This window comes from Homo sapiens, chromosome 6, assembly GCF_000001405.40.
Source record: "Homo sapiens chromosome 6, GRCh38.p14 Primary Assembly".
Lineage (NCBI taxonomy): Eukaryota > Metazoa > Chordata > Mammalia > Primates > Hominidae > Homo > Homo sapiens.
Genome location: NC_000006.12, coordinates 160,689,590 through 160,703,558, shown reverse-complemented (window position 1 = coordinate 160,703,558; position 13,969 = coordinate 160,689,590). Strand labels below are relative to the sequence as shown.

General features: G+C 43.8%; 1 protein-coding gene across 2 annotated transcripts in view; it reads right to left on the bottom strand.

Moving 5' to 3' along the window:
* Positions 1-1,366, bottom strand: part of PLG (plasminogen) — a 51,905-nt gene extending 50,539 nt beyond the window's left edge. Inside the window, exon 1 of one of the 2 annotated variants that reach the window (NM_001168338.1) lies at positions 1,206-1,366. In NM_001168338.1, the coding sequence (NP_001161810.1) occupies positions 1,206-1,254 (49 nt within the window). In that variant the 5' untranslated portion in view covers positions 1,255-1,366. The remainder of the gene's footprint in view (positions 1-1,205) is intronic. The other variant, NM_000301.5, reaches the window with a different exon arrangement.

Genomic DNA, 13,969 nt, shown 5'->3' with positions numbered 1-13,969 from the left:
CGTACATTATTTACATGAAGAACTACTAGCAAATCGTATGATTCCGTTTGTATGAAATGTTCAAAATGGCAAAGATATAAATACAGAAAGTAGATTAGTGGTTGCCAGAAGCTGCAGATTGGGGGTAACAGCTAAGGAGAGTGGAGTGCGTTTTTGGGGGTATGAATAGTTTTAAAATTTATTCTGATGGTGGCTGCACAACTCTCAATATCTTGAAATCCATTGGATTGTATGCCTAAATGGGTGAATTCTATATGTTAATTATATCTCAATAAAGCTTTTTTTTTTTTAAAGAAAAAGAAGTACTAGGACATGTTTAGAATATTCTTTCAAAGGCTTAAACAAAGCTGAAAAGTGAGAAGAGCCCTAGATTCCTTCTGGGAAACCTGGCTTAAATCCAGTTTTCTTTATTTCCCAGATCTGAGAATTTGGTCACTGAGCAAATAACATGATATTCCTAAGTCTGATTTCTTTGTTTATAAAATGAGGATGAATATGCTACCCTACCTATACCACGAGCTAAATAAGCTAGTATTTGTAAAGGATACACACTCACACTCACATTCACACACAGGTATGTATGTATGTGTAAAAATGTAGGGACCTAACCCAAGCAACTGAGTATTTGTTGATCACTATCTGCACACAGCATCTGGCAAATGGATGCGTGTGATTTTTCCGGGGATAAGAGGCAAACGTATACTGATGGAAAGCCTTCCTCAGGCCATAACAAAGGGAGAAATGCTGAGTCCCCGACCCTGCCGCCACCATGAACTGGTGAGAGAACGGAATATATTCAAAGAGATATTTCACTGTTTTAACTTGCAAGTGAGGGGAGCATGACACCGTAACAGAGATGATATAAATTAGTCAAACTGAGAACCAGGCAAAGAGCTTAGCCGTCCTTTGCATAATTAGCTACATTGGCTCTTTTTCAATTAGACTGGCCATTATGTGGGTGCACTCATTTAGATTTGAAAAATCACCCATTATTTTCTCTGCCCATTCATTCCAGCACCCTGACAATCTTCACAGGAAACTTAAACTTATTTCTTGAAGAATTCCTCAATCTTATACAAGATTTTCAACTGGAAGTTTCATGAATCAAAAATTAAATGAATTGCACATAAAGCCATGGCATATGTATTTTTACTACATTGTGGGAGAAAAAATAATTCTTATAATTTAAAAAAACTATGTCTTACCTGATTTCAGAAATAAAAGAAGTAGAAGAACCACTTCCTTATGTTCCATTTTGGGACTGGCCAGCAGTGCCCAGAAAGTGGGTCCCAATCCCAGGATGTTGTTGACTTACATGAGAGTAAACGCATCCACAAACCAGATAGTCAAATTAAGTTAATGATTCTCTCAGAGACCCATGCCACTGGCTCAGCAGGGTTCAAACATTACCTTGAATAAAGAGTCCTTACAACATGTTTGAGGGTGGAATCTGCAATAGATGCTGGGAAGTGGTGAAAGCAATCTCCCCCCTCGGCTGCTCCACGCTGCCGTCATGTCTCCTTATTCCTTCCCTCACCCTTGTACTTTATCTCTCGCAATTAGTCTTATTTCCTCCCCTCTTCTCTTATTCCCTTTCTTTTGGAGAAAATGAAATCATAAAAGTATCTCACATTTGCTGGAACCTTCCATGACGAGACCCTCTGCCAAGCGCTGCACGTCCATAGCCTCCCTCAAGCTTCCCAACAGGCAGGGCTGTTCTCATTCCTGCTGTACGAGGGATGGGGCTGAGGCCTTCCCCAAGGTTGTGTCTCTACCCAGGGGTGCAGCTGATAGACAAAACCCCTTCAGGTCTTAGATGACAAACTTAAGTTAGGTGTAAACGTTAATATCTCTACATCCTACACCAAATGACATAGAAATTACGACATAAGTGAAAGTATCTTATTATCTTCAAAATTTATTTATTCCCAGTGAACTCACATGTTTTCTGTAATTATAAATTATGTTATAAGACATCAATCTTTCCCCCAAATGAACGTATGCCATATTATTATATTCTCATTCTCATGAAATAAAGCAAGACTGGTAGCATTAAGTGGAAAGCGTCTATCTCAATTTTAAATGTTGAATCTGTACTTTTCCCTGGCTTAAGTCTAGAGCAACCAGGTAGTATATATGCTGTAAAACTTCTATTTTAGTGTTCAAAGATATTTAGGAATAAATCAATTGACCTCTCTATTTTAGATGTGAAATAAGGACCAGAAAGCATTGTTCCTCTTTCCAGGCAGTGAAATTCCTGCCTATTCATTAACTGGCAAAAGAGTAGAGGTGGGAGCCCAATGGTCTTGGGTGGAATGTCCTGCGGAATTCCCTGGGATTGAGGAACCATGCAGAACCCTCAAGAAGAAGCCACACTGGGCAACAAGAGGGTGGCCCCATGTGAGGGACAGGGGGACCGAATCGCTTTTCCTGATTTCCTATTTTAGCCTCACTCTCTTCTCTCCTCAAATTCTTACCACTCCCTTTATCCTCTCTGACTCACCTCATGGCCCAGTTCATTAAAGGGGACAGAAGGTGGAGGCAGATTGAGAAACCAGCAGTGGGCAGACATTTTATTTTTAATGTGAAATGTCTCTTAGGGGGCTCATGTTGATGTGCTTGAGAAAGTACTCTGGGAAAAAAAAATACTCTACTAATATATAATGCTTCCAGCATGTATTTATTTCCACTTAAAATATTATTGTAGCAGTTCCTCTTGGATAAGGCACCTTGGGAATGATGTTATCAGAAATTCTACATCCACATAATTTTCTTTTCCTGTTGTTTTGGTTTTGACTTGGGTGGTGTTGGTATAGCTTTTGCCCACCTTTCCCCTGGTAGTTGTTGGATGCATTAAATTCTACAAATGTGATTTTATAAATTAGTTGCCCTCCTAATGGCCTCCTGGCTGTACATTCTTCCCTACCTTCATAATCCATCAGCATCGTGAAAGCACAGAGGGACGTTGAGCAGAGCTCTGTGCTGGCGCCACCGCACTCTGTAGCCTGTAAGAGAGCAGCAAAGAGGAATGTGTTGCTCAGGTATAGACGGGGGTGGGTGCATAGAGACTTCCGCTGCGGCATGGCCCTTCATGTCCAGGGTAGGCATGAAGCAATGGACTATTCCAGGTTGTGCATAGGAAACCACACAGCACTCTTGGAGGGATTTTTGCTCTAAAGACAACTAATTCAAAATAAGGCGCTTTCTACCTGAAAGAACAGCATGAACTAAGAAAAGAGATATATAGAGAGATCTCTGTGTACTATGATCAGGTTGCACATATTCTGGGATTTATGTATTCTTATTAGTTCAATTCCTTATTTATTGACCACTTACTGTTTACAATATTGTATTAGATTCTTTTAGGATTACAGTTGACCCTTGATCAATTTCAGGGGTTGGCACACTGACCATACACAGTAGAAAATCCAGGTATAACTCTGACTCTCAAAAACTTAACTACTAACAGCCTGCTGTTGACCAGCAACAGTTAATAACATGTATTTTGTATGTTATATGTATGATATACTGTATTCTTACAATAAAGTAAGCTAGAGAAAAGGAAATGTTCGTAAGGAGAAAATACATCTGTGGTACTGTTATGTATTTTTCCATACAGTAAGTTTACACCACCTGTTTACAAGATGAATCATCTGTCTGAAATGGAAGCAACCCCAGCTACAGACCTCAGTCTCTGTTACATATCAAGCAAATCCAGTTTTTCTTGTAATGTCAAATGTCATGACTTTTCTCTGCTTCTTGGGAGCACTTCCAGCATCACTAGTGCCACTTCATATTGGATCCCATGGTGTTATTCAAGGTTTACAGTACAGCACGAAACAGGACGAAAAATACATGCGAACAGGGAGAGAGCACTTTTTACTGTGATGCGCAATTCACTGGGGATGAACTGCTCATGATGGAATGTTGAGTATCACAGAACGTTTTAAGTGGATACTCGCAACACCTTTGCTCATTGCAACAGCAACAGGAGGAGGATATGAAATTATTACCATAGTGTGGTATGCACTACGGTTAAATTTATGCAGTTACAATTTAATACTGCATCTTGATGTTTGTATACACTTCTCTCAACTGAGAATAGCACCATATACGATCTGTGAGTGTGTACACAATTTTTACTAAATTTTAACTTTTGCAATAGTTTTGTTATATTTTATGGTAGTAAAGAATAAAATAGACTAGGTATCTACATATATTTTATGCATTCATGACATACTTAACTTTTTCTATTTTTGTTGATATTTCTAGCTGGATGGTTTGTCTTTGAGTTTTTTCAAATTGTTGCAAAACTCCAAAACATTTTCTAACACATTTATTGAAAAAAATCTGTGTGTAACAGTTCAGACGTGTGTTGTTCAATGATCAACTATATGTCTAAAGAGTACAAGTCAGTCTCTAACCTTCCCCAGCCTCTCTATGCTAAAGGAACTACAGGAAACTTTCGCACGCAAGATGTGTGGAGATTCTGCTGCTGCACTTGTAGCAGGCATAGGAACGTTCAAATAGGCTGGGCGCGGTGGCTCATGCCTGTAATCCCAGTACTTTGGGAGGCCAAGGCAGGTGGATCACGAGGTCAGGAGTTTGAGACCAGCCTGGCCAGCATGGTGAAACCCCATCTCTACTAAAAATACCAAAAATTAGCAGGGCATGGTGGCATGCTCCTGTCGTCCCAGATACTGGGGAGGCTGAGGTGGGAGAATTGCTTGAACCCAGCAGGCAGAGGTTGCAGTGAGCCGAGATCGTGCCATTGCACTCCAGCCTGGGTGAGAGAGCAAGACTCTGTCTCAAAAAAAAAAAAAAAAAAAAAAAAAAAAAGAACATTCAAATAAGATTGGAGACAAATTGAATTCTCCTTAGCTCTGCCCAGCATAAGGCCTGCAATCAAGATCCACTCAGGTCCTCTTAAGAAGGAATAGACGTCTCTTCCAGCATTAAAATGGTAAATTCCTTTCAAGTATTTACAAAGAAAGTTATAAACACCAGGAAACATCAACCTCACCAGGAGGTGAGGTAGAGTTCAACCTTCCATCTCACCTGAAGTGGAAAATGCAGCCAAGTCACAACTTCCTAGGCGAAGCACGTCCATGCAAGCTGGACTGCATTGCTGGCCTGACATTTGCACCTGGCAGCTCCACGCCACCCCTTCTTTCAACCTTCCTTGAGCCCAGGCTCTGCTGCCCGGGAACTGCCATTCTAGGACAGCTCATTTCATCAACATGAACTTCTCTGCATAGCCCCAAGAGGACAGCATCATTTCCAAATGGAACTAGCAAGAACTTAATTAATCTACTAAGGACTCATATAAAGCATCCCTCTGCCGTGGTAAGGGTCCTCGGCAAGTTTATCTGTGCCTTCGATGCCAATGTGCAGATTGTTTTTACTGCTGTTTTAGTGTATTAGGGCATACCAGCGAGGAGACTTGTACTAATTAACCTGGAGGTGGCTCTTCTTTCTTTAGTTGCCCTTTTCCACATGTTAGCCTTTGTTCATCAGTCCCCAGGACCATGCAATGAGGTGATTATCAGCCCTCATGTCCTGTAAAGAGATAGCAGACTATCTCTCAAGTTAGCACAGTGGTTAAAATGTAATCAACTCGGGGGCATTTTCTTTTCCTTTCTTTCTTTTTTTTTTTTGGAAACAGAGGCTGGCTCTGTCACCCAGGCTGGAGTGCGGTGGTGCAAACACAGCTCACTGTAGCCTTAACCTCCTGGATTCAAGCGATTCTCCCACCTCAGACTCCAGAGTAGCTGGGACCACAGGTGCACGCCACCACGCCCAGCTATTTTTTTTTTTTTTGTATTTTCTGTAGAGACAGGGTTTTGCCATGTTACCCAGGCTGGTCTTGAACTCCTGGGCTCATGAGATCCTCCTATCTCCGTCTCCAGAAGTGCTGGGATTGCAAATATGAGGCACTTTACCTGGCACTAGGGGACACTTTCTAAGTGAGACCTAACTCATTTGGGGCTCAGTGAGGTGATATTTTCTTAAATGAGTTGTGCTTGAAAAAATCTAGATATCTATTCATCTTTGAAAAAATTAATTTTCATTGGCTGTCTCCTCATCATTAATAAGCATGGCTGTGTTACATGCTTAAGACAAATTTTAGCAGAGAAGAAGACAGTCAGACCCGGATAACTTAGCAGCCTGCACTGAGTTGGCACCAGGACTCCCCAGAGGAGAGACGAGGGTCCTTCTGCTCTGAGGTCCAGACTCACCATGGATAAAACAGAGATGCACCAAATCATCCTTCCCACCTCTCACATTCATTGTTCTCTAAGCTTATTCGGAGAAAAAAAAACCTTATCTCACAGTATGTCGGGGAGATAAGTCATGTAGAAAAACATTAAAATATTTTCAGGAAAGCAAATGAGTGCACAAAAAACCTGGTGAAATCTGAGCAAGGTCTGCAGACTAGTTTCTGATGTGGTGCCAATGGCAACTTTCCAGTTGTAATCATGAACTATAGTTATGTAAGATACTGCCTGAGGGAGGCGGGGCCATACAAGGACCTCTCAGTACTATATTTGTAACTTGTTGTGTTTATACTTAATTCAAAACAAAAATTATATGTATATATTTACATATATACATACATGTTATGTTTGCAATACATGTGCCTATATTTGGATACATGTGTCTATTTTAGGAGGACCCAGGATGATGTAACTGCTTTCACACTAGTTAAGAGAACTCCCAAAGCTCAGGGAAAGTCTAAAGTTATAGAGTTCCTAACTCAGGGTGCAGAACTCGGACTTTGGCTGATTCTCGTGAGCTCCTGGGATGAGTGGGTGGGACAGAGAGGCTTCTCCACCACCACGCTCCTTCCCTGGCTGGAGACCAGATGGTTAAGGACTGATGGGTGCCAGAGAGCAGCAGCACCCCATGTGGATCCAGAACCCAGAGGCTGGAGTAGTTCATGCCTGCTCCTGCCTCCCAGGTATTCAAGGGAAACCCACCATCTCCACACACCAGCAAAACACCAGCAAAACAGAGGCCCCAAGTAATGACTTCTCCGTTCTCATCTTATCTTGCCACCTGACCAGCTCCTGGGCTCCTCAATCCAAAGTTGGGGAAGAGAGAAGGGAACGTCAGTGGAAACCACTTTTGCTATAAACGCTCATCCTTCAGATGTTCTTTCAGTGGGTACAATGCTTAGTGCTGTGCTGGGTGCTAGGGAATCAAGAGTAAATAAGAGGCCATCTTTGCCCTCAGGGAGTCTTTGGTCTAACGGGGTTGGGGCAATGCAGGTCTGTAAACTGGAATTGTAAAAGTGAAGTGGCCCAGGTCCCATTTGCTGTAGTGGTGCACAGAGAGACAGTCTTGAGAGGTGAGGAGACATTTCCCAGAGGAAGTGACATCCAAGTTGAGACTTAGAAGACAGCTGGAAGGATGAGAAAGGAGAATAATTCTGTGAAGTCCTAATTAGGCAAAAGGAATCAGGCTGGTGACACTGAGGAAAAAAGAAAGAGAAAGCAGATAAGCTATAAGTTTGCCTTTCTTCATGGTCCAGGACCATAGCCCTCCTGCACAAATAACTCACAATCTTCCTGTGCCCAGCTATCACCAGGCCCTCAGCTGATAGAAAAATGCAGGTTATCCCACTGCAACCTTGGTGTTATCAGTACTGCACTAAGCCCTCTTCAGCACGCAGCACAAGCAACATCCTATAAAACCCCCAGCAAGCCTTTGTCTCTTGGCATTCAGCTCCTCTCTTGCTGGCCTGCCCCTTGCTGCCTTGCAACATATTTTCATGCTTTCTTTAATAAATCTGCCTTTCTTTATCTACAACTGTCTTGGTAAATTCTTCTTACTGCCCATGGGATACTGGCCTCAGATAGTTGCTTCACCTGCTACACATTCTTTAAGCAGAAGAAATATATGTGCAGGGTCCCAGAGGCGGGAGGAGCAGGCAGATGAGAGGAATTTGGCTAACATGGGGAAATGGTCCAATTGTGCAGGCTTCTCACTCTGTTTCAAGAAGTTTAGACTTCAGCCAAAGAAAGGCAGGGACTACTGTTACTGAAGGCTTTTAAAATCCAAGGGTGGCTTGATCTCTCTGATTGCAGTGTAGTGAGGAGGTCATAGGAGGTGAGAGATGAGAGGGGGTGAAAGAAGGCAGTGGAGAAAGAGAAAAAAGAATGGATTAGGGGGATGTTGAGAAAGTAGAATTGACATGATTTTGTGACTGACTGAATGTGGGGAATGAAATCAAGTATGCTGCCTGAATTTCTGTCTTGGACATCTGGTGGATAGTGGATCATTCATTAAGAAGGAACACATAGGAGGGAATAAGATGAAATTGCCTGGGGACAATGTTATGTTTAGGAACTTGAGAAAACCCAAGTGGAAATTTCCAGAAGGGAGTTGAATATTCTGGTTTAGAACAGGAGTTGGCAAATTATAGCCCATGAAGCAGGCTTATTTTTATAAATCAAGTTTATTGGAACATGGCCACACCCATTCTTTTACCATTTTCTGTGGCTATATTTGCACTACCTTAGCAGAGTTGAGCAGATGTGACAGAGACAGTACAATGAGCAGCAAGCTGATAAAATATTTGTTATCATCGCTTTACAGAAAAAGTTTGCCAATTCCTGGTGTAGAGCCTAGGAAAGAGGTCTGAGCTGGAGATGTGGAATCAGCAGTTGTCAGCAGATAGGTGGGATTGAAGCAATGGGGGTGGACAAGCTTGCTCAGAGAGAGAAAAAGAAGCCCTAGGATAAAGTCCTCAACAACATAAAGACCCAGAAGGAGAGAATTCTGTAGAGATGACTGAGAACAGTTAGCCAGAGGGGAAAATTGACAGCGTGAGTCCAGAGAAGCCAGCAAAAGTGAAAATTGTAAAAAGGTGGGAGTGGTCATGGGTACCAAAGACTTGTGAGAAATCAAGTGAGATGTATCCTGTGTATGCCAGAAGGTAAGAGCAAATGAGGCCAACATAACCTTAATAATACCAATCTCAATGGCCCAGACTCCAGCAAAGTCTACTCTGGCTACTGCTACCACTAAATATATATAAAACTCAGTAAAATAGCAATTTTAATTAAACAAATTCCTGACCTATTGCTGTAATACTCCTTTACCAACATTTTTGCCTGTGTATGCTTTGATTGCCTCTTCAATAATGTTGTAATATCATATTCTATGAGAGAAGAGAATAATAAACTATTTTGGCTCTAGTATTTTATTATTGATAGATTTAAATTTTTCTTCTGGCTTCATAGCTCATGATCGATAATGGAAGATTAGTTTTCAGGATTCTTGGCACACTTAGGAAAATCTTTATCAAACTATTTTTATGTATGAGCTGTAAGATTTGGTTTAATTCCCAGATGGGATGAGCTACACTCTTTTCTAGCTTTGTACATTTCTATTTTTCTTATTCAACTTTTATTTTAAGTTCAGGGATAAAAGTGCAGGGTTGTTACATAGGTAAACATGTGTCATGGGGGTTTGTTGTGCAGATTATTTCATCACCCAGGTATTAAACCTAGTACTCATTAGTTATTTTTCCTGACGCTCTCTCTCTTCCCATCCTCCAACCTCTGATAGGCCCCAGTGTGTGTTGTTCCCCTCGACGTGTCCATGTGTTCTCATCATTTAGCTCCTACTTATAAGTGAGAACATGCGATATTTGGTTTTCTGTTCCTGTGTTAGTTTGCTAAGAATAATGGCCTCCAGCTCCATCCATGTTCCTGCAAACGCACATGTCTTGTGACACAATCGTGATGTAATCTATGGTCTTGCATATTTACATTACACCTCTAGGTAAGTCAGCACAAGGGAGGTGAAGACTATTCTGAAATCTGTTTTACACAGGGACAGCTAGCAATAACATACACAGAAATGACTCCATACCACATAAATAAATCCCATGGAACCCAAACTCAATGACTCAACTCAATTCTTCTTTTGCTGGATCCTCAAAATGCCCACATCCACTCCACCACCACCCAACATGAGGGCAGAAAGAGATCAGAATTTTAGCCAATTACAGCTAAAATGTCTGCTTTTGACAAAAGCAAATGACCAAATGGATACATTGCCAGGGCCCCTCCAGAGCCTCAGAAAGGGCCTGTTGAAGTTGTCTTTTGCTATGGGATGAATCAAACCAAAACACAGTGGCTTAAAATAAGACGAATTATTTTATTTCTGAATTCTGAAGGTCTGCTGGGTTTGGCCAGGTGATTCTCTTTCTTGTGGTCTCTTAGGTCAGTGGTGGCTAGGGCTGAAACCATCTCAAAGCCTTCCTCACGCACATCTCATGGGTGATCCCAGCTGTTGCTGGAATCTCATCTGTGACTATCGGCCAAAACACTCAGAACTTCTCCATGTGTCTGGGCTTCCTAGAAGCCTGCAACTGGCTTCCAACAGAATCAGGCAGAAGTTATTTCTCCTTTACAGTCTAGCCTGGAAATACTCCAGCATCATCTGCATGAGAGTCACAAGTCTCCCCAGATTCTAGGGAAGGACATATAGACCCCACCTTTCCATGGGAGGACTATTGGCCTCATCCTGTAAGAAGAGTACATGTGGCTGGAGTCTTGTGGCTGCCATCTTGGAAAATACAATCTGCCATGGGACTCATGCAAGGAAGGAGCCCTGAGCCTGAATGTTATTAGCTTTTCTGTGCATCGGTCTCTATTTGCGCATGTTCCATAATTCGTCTCCTTCCAGAGCTTGCCAAAAGTGTCCCGCTATAATCTTTCCCTCTCCCATGTTGACACAGGTCAAATCCTTGAACTCTGTTGCCCAAATAGCTTCAAGCACATCTGCTTCCACTGAAGGTTGAGCCAAAGGTTAGTCTCCTCCCCCTCCACTAGTGGTGGCCTGAACCCCCAATATCACTGTGTCTTTGTTAGGTAAAGGGACTTGTATATTTATGGCAGGTGGTACCTGAGGAATAAGCTCTGGCTGTCATTGCACACAGAAAGTTAGGTTTCTGCTATTTCAGAGGATAGCCCCCCCTTGTGTTCAGTCAGAGGTGTAACCAGACACAGTTTTATGGGAATCAAAAGTGTTGCAATCTTTAATTGCCATAAACATGCAATCCTTCTTCCACAAAGCATGCTGAAAGATGTGCTTTTTGGTGCTGTGGTGGCAGGGTTAAAATGGAGTTTTAGCATTCGTCCCACTTTCTATCTCAAACCAGTAGTCCCTCCAACCCGACATCACGGTGTTGGGGGAGACCGCTAAGTGCTTGGCACAGCCAGCCATGTGGTATGGAGCCACTTCTGTGGCTGTACCACCATCTGACAGTAACCTCACGAGAGACCCCAAGGGAGAGAACTGCCTGGTCAAGCCCAGCCAAACTCCTTTTCCCCTTAATGGAACATTCTCTCAGGAAGCCTGGCTGTTTCTAACAAATTGATCTTGGCCCAGAGCCATCGCAATTTGTACAAGATTTTATATCCCTGCACCTCAATAGTCATGAGAGTGCTGGCTTCTCAGTATTTTTCTTCCAGGCAGACTGCTCTGGCCCACCAGGTGAATCAGGGTTGTGTTTAGATGGTTAGGAGACTCCTCCCAAGTTTAAAACAGTGTCCAAGCCTCAACTGTAAATCAACTGGGGAGACACCCCAACCCTAATCACCAGCACTGTCTGAGCTCCAGTCCCCGCTCTATCAAGATGTCCTTTTAGAAAGATAAGGACTAAAAAATGCTCACTGAGTTTGGCGATGACAGTCAGTAGAGGGGTGGGAAGAGAAATCACGCCATATGTCTCAGCCCACTTGTGCTGCGGTAACAAAGTGTCACAGTCTTTGATGGATTACCCAGATGACAGCCTGGGTAACCCATACAGGACAGAAATATATCATCTCACAGTTCTGAAGGCTTCAAAGCCCCCGATCAAGGTGCCAATTATTACAGTGTCCTCACATGGCAGAAGGCAGAGGGTAGGAGAGGATGAACATTGTGTCTTCACACAGCAGGACAGTGAAAGAGCCTGAACCCACTCCCACAAGTTCCCTTTAAAACAGCATTAATCGGCCTAAATTCCCAAAAGTCCCCATCTCCCAACACTGTTTCGTGAGGGATTAAGTTTGCAACATGTTGGGCCGAGGCAGCGGCTCATGCCTGTAATCCCAGCACTTTGGGAGGCCAAAGCAGTGGATCCCTTGATCTCAGGAATTTGAGACCAGAGCAGGCAACATGGGGAAACCCTGTCTCCGCCAAAAATCAAAAATTAGCCAAGTATGGTAGCACACACCTGTAGTCCCAGCTATTTGGGAGGCTGAGGTGGGAGGATCACCTGAGACCAGGAGGTCGAGGCTGCAGTGAGTCGAGATCGCACCACTGCACTCCAGCCTGGGCGATAGAGTGAGACCCGGCCTCAAAAAAAAAAAAAAAAAAAAAAAAAAGGTTTGTAAGATGTGATATTGAGGAACACATTCAGACCACAGCATCACGGCTGAAGAGTCAGTGGGAAACAAAATGGAAACAGCATATTAGGATAACTCTGAAGAAATGTGTCTGGGATGAAGCCAAGAGAGAAGGAGCTGGAGGCCCCGGGAGTGCTCACAGGAGAGCGGCCATAGGTGGCGAGAAGAGAGAAGGGGTTACCAGGGGTGAGTTCCTGAGGAGAGCGGGGCTGTCACTCGAGGAAAGGTAGTCCCTGTGGGGAAAGGACAAAGGAGTTGGGCAGCGACAGGGGTCCGCTGTCCTCACAGCAGGAAATGGAAGGAGGTTCCCTCAGGGCTCTTTTGCCTCCTGGAAGTACAAGGTGCCTCCATATTCAGAGCAAGAAGGGTGCAGGGTGGGGCAGGAGACCTCAGGGAGTCAAGGTTTTGCACAGAGGGAACGGATGGGGACACAGGGCCCCTGCAGCCTCAGGAGGATCAGCTGCGGCCTGGTTTGCTCGTGTCGTCGTTCGTCGTGGTCACCTTGTCCCCGGGGTCAGCCAGTTACTTGGCTTCCAGGCCCGTCATCCTGCCAGAAGCATCCCCAGCTTGGGGATGTTGGAGAGGCCCTGGCCCCACCTGGCTGGGGATGGAGTGTGTGAGCTGTCCTGGGCTGAACCTGGGTGTGGGGAAGAGAGGGGACTTAGAAAAGAGAGGGACAGTGAACTTGGTTTTGTGTGGCTGGCTGGAGTGACAATGAAAAATGACTGTGTTTGAAATATTAAATTTCCTTCTCTCATCAAGAATTCATTGTACCTGCCTGGCCCCTGAAGGTGACAGTTTGCAATCCCTGATGTTATGGGCTGAACGTTTGTGTCCCCCCAAAATTCATATGCTGAAGCCCTGACTCATGATGTGCTAGTATTTGGAGGCAGGGCCTTTGGAGGTGATGAGGGTTAGATCAGGTGATAAGGGTGTGGTTCCCATGATGGGATTAGTGCCCGTATAGGAAGAGGAAGACAGCAATCTACACACAAACGCACACACACACACACACACCCCGTTCCTTTCCCTCCTCGAACAAGCAGAGGAGATGCCATGTCAGGGTGTAGTGAGGAGTGGCGCTGTCTAAAAGCAAGAAAAGAGATTTCATCAGACACTGCATTGGCCAACACCTTGATCTTGGACATCCAGTCTCCAAACGTGAGAAATAAATGTCTGTATCTAACCCCCAACCCTACCACCCCACCTCCCGTGTGTGGTATTTTGTGATGTCAGCCCCAGCTGACTAAGGCACCTGGTTAAACCAGAATAAGCAGGTGAGGAGCACTGCGGGAGGGGTAAGAGAGGAAACCAGACCGGGCCAGATGACTGGGGAGACTGTTTTGCTAAATATTGTGCATTTTAACCCAAAGGCCATGGCACGCCACTGAAGGCAGGGTGTGCCTCAAACTTGGGGGGCCCTAAGCCCCTTGGAAAAGAAAAGAATATCATTTATGGAGAAAAGGAAGTCCCCCTTTTCAAAGGTCATTTGACCTTCATAAAAGAATAGGTCCTCTGGTTCTTAGTGTTAGAGCTCAGTAGGGGAAGGTGGTTCCCTGAAT